The 16,266-nt window shown below is 39.9% G+C and overlaps 1 protein-coding gene across 2 annotated transcripts in view, besides 3 other annotated features; it reads right to left on the reverse strand.

Annotated features, from left to right (window-relative positions):
• GRIN3A (glutamate ionotropic receptor NMDA type subunit 3A) overlaps window positions 1-11,187 on the reverse strand; it is a 169,296-nt gene extending 158,109 nt beyond the window's left edge. For both annotated transcript variants that reach the window (NM_133445.3, XM_011518211.3), the window contains exon 1: window positions 9,821-11,187. In NM_133445.3, coding sequence (NP_597702.2) covers window positions 9,821-10,519 — 699 coding nt within the window. In that variant the 5' untranslated portion in view covers window positions 10,520-11,187. The remainder of the gene's footprint in view (window positions 1-9,820) is intronic.
• Window positions 9,307-9,601: a silencer, noted in NCBI's record as "tiled region #1857; HepG2 Repressive non-DNase unmatched - State 10:DNaseD, and K562 Repressive non-DNase unmatched - State 22:ReprW". NCBI's record gives its function as "represses a minimal TATA promoter and a strong SV40 promoter by Sharpr-MPRA in HepG2 and K562 cells {active_cell/tissue: HepG2 | K562}" and the evidence as "EXISTENCE:reporter gene assay evidence [ECO:0000049][PMID:27701403]".
• Window positions 10,496-11,020: an enhancer, noted in NCBI's record as "H3K27ac-H3K4me1 hESC enhancer chr9:104500238-104500762 (GRCh37/hg19 assembly coordinates)". NCBI's record gives its function as "activates a minimal SCP1, AML or CMV promoter by ChIP-STARR-seq in primed H9 embryonic stem cells {active_cell/tissue: H9 hESC(primed)}" and the evidence as "EXISTENCE:reporter gene assay evidence [ECO:0000049][PMID:30033119]".
• Window positions 11,021-11,544: an enhancer, noted in NCBI's record as "H3K4me1 hESC enhancer chr9:104500763-104501286 (GRCh37/hg19 assembly coordinates)". NCBI's record gives its function as "activates a minimal SCP1, AML or CMV promoter by ChIP-STARR-seq in primed H9 embryonic stem cells {active_cell/tissue: H9 hESC(primed)}" and the evidence as "EXISTENCE:reporter gene assay evidence [ECO:0000049][PMID:30033119]".

A 16,266-nucleotide genomic window follows, 5' to 3' on the forward strand; every position in this document is an offset into this window, starting at 1 on the left:
CAATAAAATGGCTGCATCTCTTTATCTTTCCTTATGAATGAAAGTGACAGCAAATACAGCTACTAAGAATTAATGACTCTACATTTCTAAAGTTAGTAAGACTTTATCTCATTTTTCTCCCAACCCCACTGGACACATTTTGAGATATCTTACTTTATAGTTGTTAACTGCAATTATAGATAGGCTGGCAGTACAGCAGAAGTTGATGAAACTTCTTAGTAGAAGGCAGAAGAAGATCTTTTTGGTGAATTAATCTACATTTTCCACAGTCAAAAGACCAGGAATGAAGTAATAGCTGCTTGGAATCCTTTCTTGTCTTGTGAGACTGGATTCCTAGGATGCTTCAGCCTAAAGCTGTATTTTGGAGACCACTAGATGGCTCTCTGTGTCTGTGGCCAGGTGAAGGCACACTAGATAAATTCGGATCTAGATTTATCATTCATGTTCAGGTCACATTGAAGCATTTCTTTATGTGTATAACACAATGTGTGAAAAGACTCAAATTAACTCCTCCTGTATCAGCAACACAATAACATCTCTCTGTGTGTGGATCTGTGTATATATTTGCTCCCATTATTACATTTACAATATATAGAAGCAAATTATTTGTTTAAAGGAATCTCTGTTTAAGAATGTCTGGTTGGGACTGAAAAAATAGCACTCCACAACTAAGCCAGATTGTGATTCTGTTAGACAAAGACATGCTGAATGTTGAACTTTACGAAAACAAAAACTTTTCTTTTTAATCTGGGGAGTATTAACACAACTTCTGTTTGGCTTCTGGTTGAGGCCTTCTGTCCAAAAACACCCATAGATTGCATGCAGGTTGTACTGCCATCAAAGTGCTTGCTACTGCCCCAAATGTTCAGTAAGTTCAGCTAATGACCACCCCTGGCGGTGAGGAGAGGAGTGACAACCCATTTCTAAGTTATTCCTAAGAATGTTTTTGAAAGGTACAAGTTGAGCTATTGTTTGGAACCGTAGAGACTCAGCCACTTGCAGTGTGATGAAAATATAGACTGCAAACACAAAGGAAAATCTCACCTTTTAAATAGAAATAGCATAATGCTCAAGTTTCAAAAGCCATGTCAAATCTGCATTTTCAGAAAAATTTTTAAAAATTACTTTTTTCTTTATTTCTCCTGTTCTTTGATGCCAGTGCCCAGTTAGAGTGATAACAGGGTTTTTCTTAATTGTACTCCACTGTTACTAAAATTTCAACCATTATCCTTGAAAGAATAAAAAGCATTAAATGCGACTCAGGGTTAATCTGTGTAAATGCACAGGTAGTAGTGCATGGGCACTGCTTTTATAATCAGAAAAGCAATATGCATCTAGAAAGTCCCATGAAGTTGTGTGCATCAATTTTGATATAGTCCGCATCCAGTAAAATATGGAGATTTTGCTTCATGAGGTGTCCCATTTCTGAAAGCCCTGGCCTATAGCAGTGCTACTTTCCCTTAATCTTTGGGTTAATGTAAGCCATATTGTTACTGTGATACAGATGAAGCCCGTATGAAAAAGGGGAGACTGCTGAACCTTGAATCCACGTCCAGGTAGACTCTGCCCTTTCTAACAAGAATCCCCAAATACCAACTGGGTTGTACTTAGCAGTGAGTGGAATCACCAAGCTTAACCTTTCTCGACATTTTTCTCCAGATGCAAAGTGTATAAGCTGAAATGGAACCTGCCTTCCAAGGATAAGGTGGGCCAGATCCCTTTCTATCTTTTTGTCACCTCCTCCCTGCATAAGTCTGTGTGGGCAATTGTATTCATTTCTTGTTGTTGCTGTAACAAACTACCAAGAACTTAGTGATTTAAAACAACACACACTTATTCTCTTATTACTTGTGACTAGAGGTCATAGTCTGAAATATGTTTTGCTGGGCTAAAGTCAAGGGTGGCATTCTTTCTGGAGCCTCTGAGGGGAAAACCCATTTTCTTGCCTTTGAGTTTCTAGTGACTGCCTGTATTTGTTGACTTATGGCCTCTTCTCCATCTTCAATGTGTGTCACTCCAGTCTCCGCTTCCTTTATCACATTGTCACATCGCCTTGTCCTCTGACCTTGACTTCTTCTGCCTCCTTCTTATAAGAATCCTTGTGATGACATTGAGTACACCTGGATAATCCAAGATACCCTTTCTATCTCAAGATGCTTAACATAACCACATCTTCAAAGTCCTTTTGGCCATAAAAAATAACATATTCACAAGTTTTGAGGATTCAGATTTGGAACTCTTCCAGGTACTCAGCCCTACCACACCAAAATAAGCTCACTCCTGTTTCATAAGCTCATATCTGTTGTCCTCCATCTCTTCTGCCACTTCTTTCTTTTGTTTGCTTAGATGGAAGATCAAGATTTAGAATTAAGAAATGCCACACAAACCTGAAGCCCAAGTCGTATGTCCCAACTCAATTTTTTCTAAAGACCTATGCAGCAGGGCACTGGGCATTAATGCATTTATTAATAAAATGAAACTGTCATTTCTGTTCTATTGTTCCCTGAGTTTAGTTCCTCAGAGCCTCCTATGAGAAGTTATAGCAATAGTTAGGAAAGACTTATGAGTTCCTCACTAAGACCACCTAATAGACCAAAACATGCTTCTTCTTAACCTTGATGTAACTGCTGCAAAACTCCAACCACCCTGAACCCATATAAAGGAGCAACTAGGTAAAACTGGACTTCAAAGTTCACTTCTTTGCTGACCTACTTTGCACACACTTAAATTGCGGGTACACTTCAGTGAACCAGAACTCTAAGTGGGACTTCAAAACAGCAGATTTCTTCATTTTTCTCAGGGTTATTTTGCTGGAGCTGGAAGTCCTAAGCCTGAATATTATAGACACATTGCGAATGCATAATAAGGTAGAATATTTGAGTTCTTTTTCTGATTAGTTTTTATGAATCTTGCCACGTCAACACTTTATGCTAAAAGAACAATTATCAACATCATAAGAACACACTGCTCTAGGTACATATGGTGCAGTCCTCACCATAAACTTATAAGATAATCACATTTTATGACTTAATAAATTGAAACATGGAGACATCAGGTATGTTTTCCAAGGTAGGATGTCTAAAAAGTTGTACAGCCAAGATTCTAACATAGCTCTGAACTTCTCAAAAATGTAATCTCTTAACTCCCACCTTATATTTCCTCCATCATATGTTATAATTATCTCATTTACATTATAATGGTAATAATATTTTTCTGGCTCTCCTCACAAAGTAACTGTGAGGAAAAAATTATAAAAGAGATGAGAGAGGGCTTTGATACATTTAAACATACACTACAATTTATTCTTTCTAAAATATGTATTTTCATACTGAAGTATTGAAAGTCTAGATGAGAAAGTATAAAGACAACTTATCTTTTTTCTCTTATTATTTTTTAATTCTGTAGGTAAAAATGATTATTTTTAGAAAAATAGATGCATGAATAGAGAAAAATGTAGATTTTCACCCTCTATAATCCCTGTTAAGATTTTTATAAACAAAGTTCTAGACTTCATATTTTACAGGAACAAGGTCACACTTTACATACATTTTTGTAAAATTTTTCTATCTTTCTGTGTCAATAAATATATCCTCATTTTGAATGAGTACATTGTACTCCGTTAAAAAATGATTCAATTAATTACATTTCCATCATTTTGAACATTATTATATAATATGCTTTTAATAGTCCAACCTGGAAGTAGATACTTCTCTCTTTTATGCCTTTTCTTATGGGATATTACAAAAGCTGTGATGGATCCAATCTGTTCTTTGGTTGAAGGCTGACAAATAGACGAAGTTAAGAAGGTGCTATTAGTCTGTTTTTCTTCTGGATGGCTTCTCACTTCCTACAATGCATAGTTCTTTCTATTTCTCCATATTTTGTCTATACATAGTCATTTGCTTTACAGGGCTGTTAGGAGATTATTTAAACATATTTGTGAAAAAGCCTTGAAAAACATAAATGCTGCAAAAATATAATATGATTAAAATTCTTCCTAAATCTATGCTTCAAATGAATAACGATGAGGTGTAATTCATCCTGACTGAAAAAGGAGTCATCCTGCTTAATTCTCTACCACATGAACCCTTGCAGGCTCATCTCCATTAACAAACCAGCCCTGGCCAATCAGACACCAGCCTTTCAATGTCAAAGTTTACTCCTCATGACATAATGCCAGCCAGGTCAGGGATCAACCCACTTTTTCAAGGCAGGAGATCAAATACAGTTGACAGTCTCCCTGAAAGTGCATGAATCTTACACAATTAAATAAAATATCTGAGAATTTGGCTGAGGTGTCAGGTTGAGGAAAGGAGAAGGAAATGGAGAGAGTTGGCTTACTCTTAGCTCACCTCTTCCCCATTGCTCTTTGCTCCTGTGATCTCATAGAGAAAATATCAGCAAAAGACAACTGAGAGGTTAAAAATTTCTATGAGTTTGTCATTCAAACATTCACTCAAAAAGTAATATGGCAGATGCTAAGAGATGTTCTTTCTTCTTGCCTAGTTTTATGGATTTGGCATCATATTTCTGGTGCTACATAGGTCCTCTATTCTTGTGTATATGTGGCAATAGCCAGAGCTAGCAGAAAAAAAGACAATGAGATTTCTCATCTCTATATTTACTGTTGCCACTAAAATGAGCAATACTTTCCTAAGAGAGTATACAGTTATCTAGGGCAATGGGACTCAAAGTAGCTGGTTTGTAAATTATATATCCATGATGAGATAAGGAGCTTAGGTCAGTATGAATCAACACACTGCTTTCCTTATCAAGAAAGTTTGCTATGAAAAAATTTGGATGTTTGCTTTGTGGTGTAGTTGGCGGAATAGGAGTGAGAGTGGGGTAGACTCTGTATGGTCATAATTTCCTGAATGATAGTTTGCCTATAGAAAAAACTTATGAGCAATGTGAAGGACCAACATTTCTCAAATATCTTGGGCATCTTAATGATATTTCTATGGCAGGACTTAAGGCTCTAGAAGCTGTGTTAGATGTGCCATAGGTTAAAAGTTGCTGGTAATACAGAAACAGTACTGTGGCATGTCTTCTTTTTCCAGGCAAGTGTGCAACCTACTTAGGAACCTAGTTTTTTGTTTGTTTGTTTATTTCTAAGCCCACTTTTTTTTAAGAGAAAAAAATGAGGGAGAGGGTAAAGAGGAAGGTGTAAGGGGAATGCAAACATTTTACATGTGAATCATATCTCATTTTGATTAGTAATTTCGAAAAGAAAATTAGTTGAACTTTAACACTTAAGTGATTCTTACCAGATAATGACCAACACCTCTCCACTAGTTATTTGGGTAACACTATAACTTTTCCAAAGTACTTTTACTTTCTCATTTGATTCACAACATCTTTGTCAGATTGGTAAAGTACCTTCTTTTGATCTACACTTCTGATAAGTGTAGATGCTCAGAGATAGTCACTTGCCCAAAATTACATGGCTAGTGAGAGATAGATTGGGAACATCTGCAACGAAAGAGGCAGATTGGGAACATTTTGGCCACTATTTCATATGCGTTTCATTACATTGTGCTCTTTTAACTATTGTGGTTGGAATTTGACTGGGGGGTTATTTATAAAATAAAATCTAATGGTACAAAATCCATGGTGCCTTCTGCAGCACCAGAAGATAAAACACGAGGAATTAGAAATTGGCATCAGTCTTCAGATACCTCAGCTGATTCGATCATAAATTAACTCTAAGATATAATGGTCAGACAAAATCAAGAGCAAATATATTCTTCATGGATTAAGTGATACTCTTCTGGCAAGCACAAAGTAAAGCGGGAGAGACAAACTAATTGCTCAATAAATGGTGCCTGCTAGTCTCCTTTGCTCTACTTATCTAGAAAAGCGAATACATATTGTAAGTAAATAACTAAATTAAAAAATACTTCCAAGTTAATGCCAGGTCTCTGTTCTTCAAGAGGAACCTGTAAAAGATCACTGCTTTAAAAAGTTTTGCATCACTTGACATTTAATTTGAAATTGTTTATCTTTAAGTCAGCAACAATTAGATGCGACTATCAGCTATTCATCATGAATTGCAGAATACATTTCCCCCAGAGGAGAAAGAGCTGTGATTTGCATAGAGCAAGTCAAAGAAAACCAACACAGTTGAGAGCAGATGTTTTAAAAATAAATATCCCTTACTGGTCCCCTCATGAGGTACCCCTGTGCCATGCAAAAATAGTGCTTTGTTAGCCAAATTCTAATAAATAGGCTTCAGTGCTTAGTCCTGTACTGTCAGAGAAAATGCACAATTTAAAACACTTGTATTTCCATGAAAGAAGCATATATTAATTTGTTAGTACATATCGCTCATGAAGCAGGCAAAGTTGTGGTTGGTGTATTCAACGAGAGTGTTGAAAATAGTAGTGGGATCACTTTTTTTTTTAATTAAAAAATTTTTTTAAGAGTCAGGGTCTTACTATGTCACCCAGGGTAGTCTGGAACTCTTGGGCTCAAGCAGTCCTCCTGCCTCAGCCTCCCAAGCAGCTGAGACTACATGTAGGTGCCACCATGCCTGGCTGTGCAGTCACTTTTGAATTGCATGGATTTGGATCTAAGCCAATTATATTACATCATTAACTCTGCCTAATAGAACCAATATGAAGTTAAGGTGAGGTGTATATTTTTTTTAAAAAATGTGTACTTGTCACTACTTCAGCAGGTAAACTTTAGGGAGTTAACTTTGAAGAAACTACACAAAACCTGTAGAAGAAAAAGTCATGTAGGAAGGAGAGAGAAAGAAAGTATAACTGCAGGAATTTAATTTAGGTGTAAATGGAATTAGGTTCATATTCAGCATCATTATTTGAAGGTTATAAGAATAGAATTTAGAACAAAGAAGTAATCATTTTAATAAAATGGGTTAGCCTCAAGTGGGGTTTGAGTGTTGTAGTGAAGTCAGAATTCTTTTGATGGAAAACTGCTTTGACCCCATCCTATGTTTAATGTTTTATTAAGCTTTTATTATGCAGTTATAATATACATATGTTTTCCAAAAGTATGTAGTTAACTAACTTACTTTTAATGAATTTCCCTACTTGAAAGAAGCTGATCCCCTAGAAGGTGATGATCTTATGTGATTATCTTATTTTGAATACATAGTGTATTGAAATAAAACTATTATGCTTTTCTCAGGGGTTTGTCCATCTCAGTGGCAGCTCTTTCCATTTAAGAGTTGTGGCAGGATGTTACCAAAACTATTGCTCATTAATTAAAACCTTCAGATGAATGTAATCAGCAGCCCAAAATAAAGTGAGAGAAAACAGCTGTTGCTGCTCTTGCTATGAAAGCAATTTTGATTTAAGTAAGAGACACAATTTTATTTTACTTGGTTGTGTGAAAAAGTCCACTTTCTTCTCGAATCCTTTATTCAGGGAGTGGCACACAACCAACAAATTAGGTCACTGGGCAGTAGACTCCGAGGATGGTGGCTAGATTAAGTCAATTTTATTTAATGTGTAAAATGAGTTTGACATCCTTTTATATATAGAAAGTTTTTAAAAATCACATCACTGCATTAGAGGAAGGTCCACTTTTCCAGAGAAGCAAGGGAAAGATCAGTTATTGTTTTCACTGAAAGCAGATTACGGTCATCTTAAAATTATATATTACAGTGACTTGGCATTGATCAGAACATTCTTAATACAGAATATTATAGAATGACATTTAAATGAGATACCAAAAGTAAGACAAATTAGATATGTTTGAATTTAAAGTAAAAAGGGAGATGAAAGAAAATGTAGTCAGTTGAACAAACTAGATCTGAGTTAATATAATAATCTCTCCCTTTCAAGATGTGTGCCATGAAGGTAACAGTGACAACAGTGATTTAAAATATGTTTCTGAGTTGAAATACAGAAACAAATGTGCTTGACAGCGTATTTATTTTATTGTCAGCTTGTCCCTGGAGGACTTTATCCACCCCCCACCCCGGTCTTAGAGCTTTGAAGTTTACAGATTCTGGATTCTGCTTCATGGTTTTTCTGGTCCCCTTGTTGTAATGTGCTGTATGCTGCACACATCCGTTCTAGAACACAACTTCCCTTCTAACTAAGGAACACGAATTTTGGTGAAAAATTCTTGCTACTTAAGACTCTTGCCAAACAATCTACAAATGAAAAGGAGTCTGGAGACTGTGACCACTATTGGCCACTTACGAAGTATTAGGTAATAAAGAAGCAATGATAAGAAGCAAGTGATGCTGACTCCTGCATTTTGTTAGATCTGATTCTGCATGTATATTAATAATGATGCACCCTATGGATGCAATTTCATGTTTATAACACTTTGGTCATTGGCAGCATTGTGTATCTGTGTTTTCCATGCCTTCCCATCTGCTGCCTACACCATTCAGATTCAGGTGACAGAAATATTTTATATAAAAGTTAATTAGCCTGCACTCTACAGATCAAATCTCTGTAGTTCGGCTAGGAATCTTCTGGGCAACTGCTGAATATGGCTTGTACTCAACCTTCCTAAGATTAAAAATGTAAGATTTATTTTCTTCTAGAAAAAGAAATCTTTAGTACTCCCTTGACAATTTATGCATAGATTCTATCAAACTTTTCATTGTACATTGCCCTTACTCATTTTAGTTTTTATCTCGGCACATATATCAGAAGTGGAAGAAGATTGGAAATACAAATTTTTCCAGCTGCAAGAGTTGAGTGAAAATGATGTAGAGTCAGAAATCCTCCAGAATGTGGACTTTTTTACTAGTACACTGACCAATGTTGATCAAGTCCCCAGACTTTTCTCAGTTTCTCAGTCGTTAAAATGGGCCCATGCCAATTACCTATTTGCTTCATAGATACTTTGTGCAAGGCTTAACACAGCTTGAGATTATGATAAAAGTAACATATAAAAGGCAGAAAACTCATTACTAAATAAGGACTCTGTCTTGTTCTTAAAGATTCATCTCCTCATTATTACTTGTCAACGTTAAGTTCACAAATAGCTCTTTCATTGAAAATATGTTTAGCTTTTTTAATCAATAAGAAACTAAATCATTTAATTCCTTTTTTTTTTTAATTCTTAGATGATGGGGAGAGAAATGGGCTGAACACAGCAACTGAATACCAGCCTCTGAGTCCACATTACATAGAAGGAAAGTAGGGACAAAGAAACAATCCCCAAATAAATCTCCCCGTCCATCTTTACACTTTTATATATTTCTAATGCTTTCCAATATCCGAGACTAATTGACCACTCTTCTCTACCTATGGCTTCTGTACTAGGTGCAGATTTTCTATTTACCCAGAGGAATTCAGAGCGATGTGCTTTCTTCCTTACACCTTTGCCTAAGGCTCAGGCACACCTTCTGAAGAAGTCAGAGAGAGCAGATGCTGCTTTTCCGACACATGCTGTCAGAGTTGCTCTTGGGAGTGTGACACCTAGCCAGGAGTCAGGGATACCCCACCCCCATACCCTGCTCTTGTAGTTCTTCAGAACCTTCACCGCTCTCCACGGTCCTGAACCTCGACTTCTACTTCCCGTCGGGCATCTACTAGATTTCTCCCAGCCGGTCAAAATATGATTTTCTCTCATATTCTCCCCACTTCTTTCCTTCCAGCCGCGACCTCACTGCGCGTTTTATTTCCATCCGCGCTTTAAATATTTTATTCTACTTCTACTAAGCTCCTTCTACCTACCACCTACGAACATGGCCCAATCGTTAAGCAATATCAAAGTTATAAAGTAACAACTCCCCTCAGACTTTACCAAGCCGTTTTCTCTCCCCTCATGCAATGGCCCCGGCCCCCAGCAGCGCCCATCTCCACTCCACGCACCAGGCTCCTCTCACCTGACTCTCCCGTGGAAACTCGTGGCGCACGATGCTGATCACTGGAATGTGCAGGACTAAGCTGACCAAGTCGAGCTCCATCATTTCGCCCTGGCTCTGGGGGAAGGCGAGCAGCGCCGACACCCCTTGCACCACCACGGTATGGCACACACTTTGCAGGAAGGAGAAAGGGTCACTGCTCCATGGCGAACTAGGGGAGGAGAAGGGCAAAAGTGGCAGATCGCCCAGGCCTGCCTCGATGGCCATCACTACTTCCAAAGACAGGTTGTAGGGTAGCAGCCCTTCCACGCGGTTCAGGTTGTCCACGGCAAATAGGAGGGCGTCCCGTGGCCACAGGGCCTCCGCCCTGGCGCCCTCCCCGGGCTTACGGGAGCCCGGCGGCCCCCGGCCATGCAGGGTGCTCCCCAACCAGCGTGCGCCCGGCGAGGGCGCCGGGGACCGCCTAGTCCCTGGCTCCGGCTCATCCCTCTGGGCTCCTGCTCGGCTGTCGTCCGGAGCGCGGCTGGCCGCGCGGGGGGCGGTGGTCCAGGGCTGCAAGTGCACCGCGCCCACCCTCACCGCGTGCCCGATGCGCTTGAGGATCTGGCAGGGCTGCGGGTGCGAGGAGGAGCTGGGCACCCCGGCCAGCACCAGTGCGCAGGGCGGCGGCAACAGCAGACAGACCCTGCTCAGCAGCCACCACAAACTCAGTCTCCTCATTACTGAGACCCGCAGGGAGAAAGCGCGCCCCCTCCTGCGCCCGGCTCGCCCCTCTGCAGCCGCTGCCTGAGGTCTCCGCCTCCAGGTCCCGCGCGCAGCTTCACTCCACTCGGTGAAGCGGTCCCAGGAGCTGGAGCGGTCTCTAGGCCATGCAAGTTGGAGCGTAGCGCGCCTCCGGCAGTCTCAGATCCCGCTCCCAGGTCCCTCCGCCTGGCATCCTCTGCCCGCCCGGTCACTGCGCTGAGCAGGCAGGCGGGCGGGCCGGCGCCTGTCACCCGCAGCTGGAGCGCCCGTTCCCTGCCCGCCCCATCTGCAGGGCGCCTCGGGCACTGCGTCCGGCCCCGCGAGGCGGCCGGGATGAGAAGCAGCCGGAGTTCCTCGGGGGCAGCAGTGACAGAGGAGCGACGCGCTCTCGCCTGGATTCTTTTCCTTTTCTGCCCAGGCGAGACCCACTTATTTCCTGGGGTCGCGTTGGAGAGGGCTTTCACGCCCGGGGTGCGGAAAAGAAGCCAAATCCACCTTCCTCCACTGTTGGCCACCCTCCTGCAGGCTCCCCCAGCGCCGACTTCATTTTCTCTCTTCTCTCGCTACTTCCTCTCTGCCTTTCTTTCGTTATTTTTCCACCGAGTCGCCACCGCCGCTTGCTTCCTCGGAGGAGCAACGCGACTGGCCAGCAAAGGGTGGCTCTGCTCCGAGCGCCAAAGTTCTCCCCGCCTCAGCCGGCGCCTCCCTGTTGCTGAGCCCTGGCGCCTGCCTGTCGCTTGGCTGCGCTAAACGCCCACTGTTGGTGAGATTCCCGAGTGGCACATCCCGCGCCCCTGGAAAGTCCTCTCCCCTCAAAGGCTGGGCGTCATAGTTTGCAAAATTCCCTAAAACCTAAGAAGGAAAATAGGACTATGAGCCGGTGAGAATTCTGAATTCAGAGTCGCACCTGAGGGATCTGAAATTCGGTGGTTCACTGAAATAGGTTCAAAGAGGCTGTGACTTAACGAGCTTCTGGATGTGTCGCTTTTAAGGTTTTTCTAGCTAAGGGTATTAAAGTAAGAATTATTTACACATTTTTATCTCCTCAGCTTCTTTCTTTCTGGCATGTGAGCCTTTGCATTTTTTTTTTAAAGAATCCCTGTTTTTAGGTTCTCAGAATTAAAACAAAGTGAATTCAAAGCAATTTTTTCAGTTCAAGAAATTAAAGAGTTTCAAAATACTTTTAGAGTTTAAAATGCAGTCAACAGCAGTTCCCAGTTTAGATCAAGAGTCCCCAGATCACAGTTTGTACTAAGTTATTTCATTTGTATGGTAATACAGTGAAGTCAACGTGTTGTGATCTAATCTTTTCCTCCATGATTTGAATAATCTGAAACTAGAAGGTAAGGAAAGAGTTAAGGGCAGGCCTGTGGTTTGCACATATACAGTAGATTAATTTTATTTTATCCCACAGTATCGTTTAGAAGGAGGGTAGGAGAGATCCATGGGGTGGAGCAAGCACTGGGGATCAGCCTTTCTGAGTCTAATACTACTTCATGACCATGACCTTGGCAACTTATTTCACCCGACCTTGCCCTGCTGTTTGGATCTGCTAAATTGTTATGCAAATACAGCTGGCTTTTAGCTCTGGAGGGTTGTTTTGATTCATGAGCTAAAGTTTCCATCATGTTTTAAATCCTGGGAAGAAGAGACTCTAGTTAAGTAAAAATCCCAAGAAGCTTGCAAAGTGAATGCTGTTTTCCCCAGCCCAGATCTTTAAAGGTATCTCAGAACAAATTTACCAGACATTCGGCATCGTTTTTGCAAGACTGGGTTGCTAGAGAAGAAAAGTCTCCCATGAGAAAAAAAGTGAAAATCATAGTAGTGGGCTGAATGAGGAGGGAAAGAAACCCTCCTGAAGCCTGAGAGAACATCCCATGAATGGAGAAAAGCTGCCTCTAGTGTGCTGGAAATTCCCCCTTGATCCACAGGATTCCACTGATTGAGATCTGAATAATAAAAGTGTAGAAGTCTGAGGTCCTTGCATTGCAGGAAGATTGGGTATCTACTAATTGTGTAGTAAGGAGGTATATTTGTCTGTACTCGAGTGTGTGTTTTGAAGAATATAATGTATAACTTTCTAGGTTATGACCATGCTTAGTCCTTGTACTTTTAGTCCTTGGCATTACACTTATGTTCAGATCAGGTTCTCAAGAAAAACATGATGATGGAGAATAGTTTGATCTGATCATTAATAGCATCCTAGAATCACTCTATATGCATTAGGTTTTTCACAAGTTCATGACTGCCTTGAGGGAATAACTGAACTGCTCTTACACAGAAGACCTTCCCAAGTTTCTGAGGATAATACTGCACCAGGTCGTGATAAAACTCTACTTAAACCTGGTGAATACTGAGTGAACAATGAAGAATGGCTCTCCCTTCTTGGGCTTCCTTTTGTTTCTTTCCGGGCTTTCCCATTATAATTCACTGGTGTCCTTCCTGTTTTCCTTTTGCTGCTTGGTTTTCTTTGTCCATATCATGGTGGTCTGAGCATATCTGACAAAATTGTTCTCTCTCCTTTCCCCAAATCTTCTTTTTCCTTTTCCCTTTCTCCTTCTTGTCCACCTTTTTCATGTGTCAAGGGTCATCATTTTCAAAGTTCACTTAAATTCAACAACCAATTATTAAGCTCCTAGTATGTGTCAATCATTGTTGTAGGACCATCCTGGAAACAGATGAATAAACTCTAGAAAAGTTGAGTTTTCTCCTTTCCACAACATCACATAGTCAATAAGTGAACAAAATGCTAACATAGAGCTTATATTCTAGTGTGAAAGAGACAATAAAATATACAAATAAGTAAATAAATGTAGGGTATGTTAGTTTGTGCTAAGTGGAAAAAGAAAGCAGTGTAGAGGAAGTATTAGGAAGAGGTTGGGTTGTAATTTTAGGTGAGAAAGCCAGGGAAGACCTCTCGGAGAAGACAGCTTTTGAATAAAGATGTAAAGGGAGGTAAGGGAGTGATTCATGTGAATACTCTAGGCAAGAATTCCCAAGCAGGGGAAACTACATGCCAAGGCCCCGAGTGTTTCTGGAAGGTTTAAAGAATAATGAGGGGTCTGGAGTGGCCGGAGCAAAATGATCCAGGGTGAAAGTGGTGGCAGGTCAGGTCAGAGAGGCAATGAAGAGGTGGCAGACAATGTAAGCAAATGAACTTTGGCATCTACTCTGAATGAGATGAGAAGGCATGAAGGCAGGGACATTGGGCAGAAGAGTGATAGAATTAATACTTTAACGGGATCGCTACAGTTGTTTTGTTACTGATAGATGAACAGTGGTTAAGAGTGGAGGGCAGAAGAGTGATAGAATTAATACTTTAACGGGATCGCTACAGTTGTTTTGTTACTGATAGATGAACAGTGGTTAAGAGTGGACGCCAGAAGATGAGAAAAGGAGATGAGGCTATTGCAATAAGCCACATGAAAAATAACACTACTGTCAAATCATAGAAATCAACCTCAATAGGTTTGTGTGATCATCCCCATTCTAAAGAAAAGGACATTGAATTTGAGAAAAGTTGAGTTATCTGCACAAAATCATTAGATAGTGAGTAGCATTGTGGCTTCAATATTTTAAGTTCTTCCCAGCTGTGTGGTTGGTAGCTAAAATCAGTCAAATTTCAAAATTGGCTTACTCAGAGATGAAGCTTTTTAAAAATTATTATCTGACTCAGAATGAGAACTACTGATCTAAGAACCCATGTTGGAGAGTCAAACCAGAACAAATCCAAATGCTCGCAATTTAACATGTGCTTTTGTTCACATCTGTGTTTTCTGGTACCAGCAATGGATGGACTAAAAGCTGAGATATATTGCTATGGTGGTAGCCAAGGAAAGGCTACAGTAAAGGATGCTGTGGGAATTAGGAGTTAGATTCTCTTTTCAGTATTGTTTCGCCTATGGATATGACATTTAACCTCTTACAGCTGAAGATTCCTCCTCTGAACTGTGGTTGTGGCGACAGATCTTAACAGTTGTCTGTATAGATGCAACAGTATGCAGCCTCCTGTGAATCTTTTCAAGTTCCACGGGAATGGGAGGCTTCTGGTGAGTCTGGAAAACTATCTTGTGTTTTTTCCTATACCTTGACTTATTACAAGTTGCATTCACATCTATCTTTGTTTTTGTAAATGGCCATAATATTAAATGGCATGTCCCCAATTCTGGGTCTCCCCCTTTTTTTTTTTTTGCAATAGTAATTATGTAGATTTTTATCAATATTCAGATGAAAAATGTGTTCTCCCCTAGCTAGTGCATATCCAGAGTCTCAAATTATGCTGTCTTCCACATTGGCTCCTTTGTTTCTATTGCCAAGGACCTTGTTGTCATGTGAATCTTCCTGGATAAAAGCAAACAAACAAAAAATATATGGAGCTCTTAGAGAATCTATGGTAGCAGAATTTTAGAAGGGAATGAATCTAGAAAAAAATTAGGTCAGTTTAGGGGAGCAGACCCTGAGGGCTCATCTGTCCAAAGCCTAATAATTTTTTCTCATTCCCTCAATTAAAAATAAGCCTATATTCACTCAATACTTTGTAACACTGTTCTACATTCTACTAATTAGGCATTAATTTTGGCAGCAATTATTCTCTTTTAAAAATGCAAATAACTCTCATGATTTTGGGACTATCAGTGAGTCACAGATTAGTATAAATTATTTTATCCTGATTGGTGTAAAATTAATATCCTGTTGGGATTTTTGGGGGGAAGAGAAGGGAAAGAAGTTTATTTTGCATTATAAAGGATTTTGGGAACACAAGAGATCTTAAGGAAGAATTTCAGAAGGTGTGCAACAAATCTTCATTACTCTAGAGCTTTTATCTTAAGTAACTTCTACATGCCAGGCACATTGTATATAGGATCCAGGTGAAACTTCCCTGAATAATTTCTAGGCAGACTGAGAAACTGGAAACAGGAAAAAAGGGACCTTAGAAACTAAGGAAATAGGGTGACAAAGAGGAAGGAAAAATCTAGTCTGTTTTGTCCAATTCAAAATATTGCCTATGCTTTGACCTTATGCTGGAAAACACAAAGGATACTGTCTTTTCTTTTGCATCACATAATCCCCTACACCCAAGAAACCAAATTCAGGCCAGGGCTATTACCTATCTGTAAATTAGGAACTGCCAATAGTTGTTAACCTTTTAGCTATGAAAAAGCACATTATGGTATCCTTAATCTACTTATTGTCAGGGGAGTCAGTCATCAGCTGTGACAAGTGCTTGGCCTTTTCAACATCCACCAGGATTATTAGCTGAGTGTTTGGATTTCCTGATTTCCTTTCTAAACCACATACTAAAGGGAACTCAAATAGAGATTGGAGAAGCTAATATGGCAGTCTCTCTCAATCACTCTCTTCTTCTGTGTGTGATAATCATTTCAATTTAGTGTTTATCCAAATGATCTATGGAATAAAACTTGGCCCATCACAGACTGGGACATTTTTAAGGACTTTTTTGTGCTTAATTTGCAGAACTAGTTTTATAACTGCAGCCAAAAGAATTTGGAAATTTTCTAAAAGCTTATTTGCCTTCATGGATCTTTTATGCCTTGCATCTGTAAAAAAATTTAGTCTACAGAAACATAGTTTTTATTCCTTTAGAAAGAGACTTCAAGAAAGACTTTCAGATGATATTCAAGAATTATGCAGTCTTTATTATTCTAGAGCTTTTATCTTGAGTGACATCCGTGCCAGGTACTTGGCATACATGATTTCTTAAT

The sequence above is a fragment of the Homo sapiens genome, chromosome 9, assembly GCF_000001405.40.
Source record: "Homo sapiens chromosome 9, GRCh38.p14 Primary Assembly".
In the NCBI taxonomy this organism is placed as follows: Eukaryota; Metazoa; Chordata; class Mammalia; order Primates; family Hominidae; genus Homo; species Homo sapiens.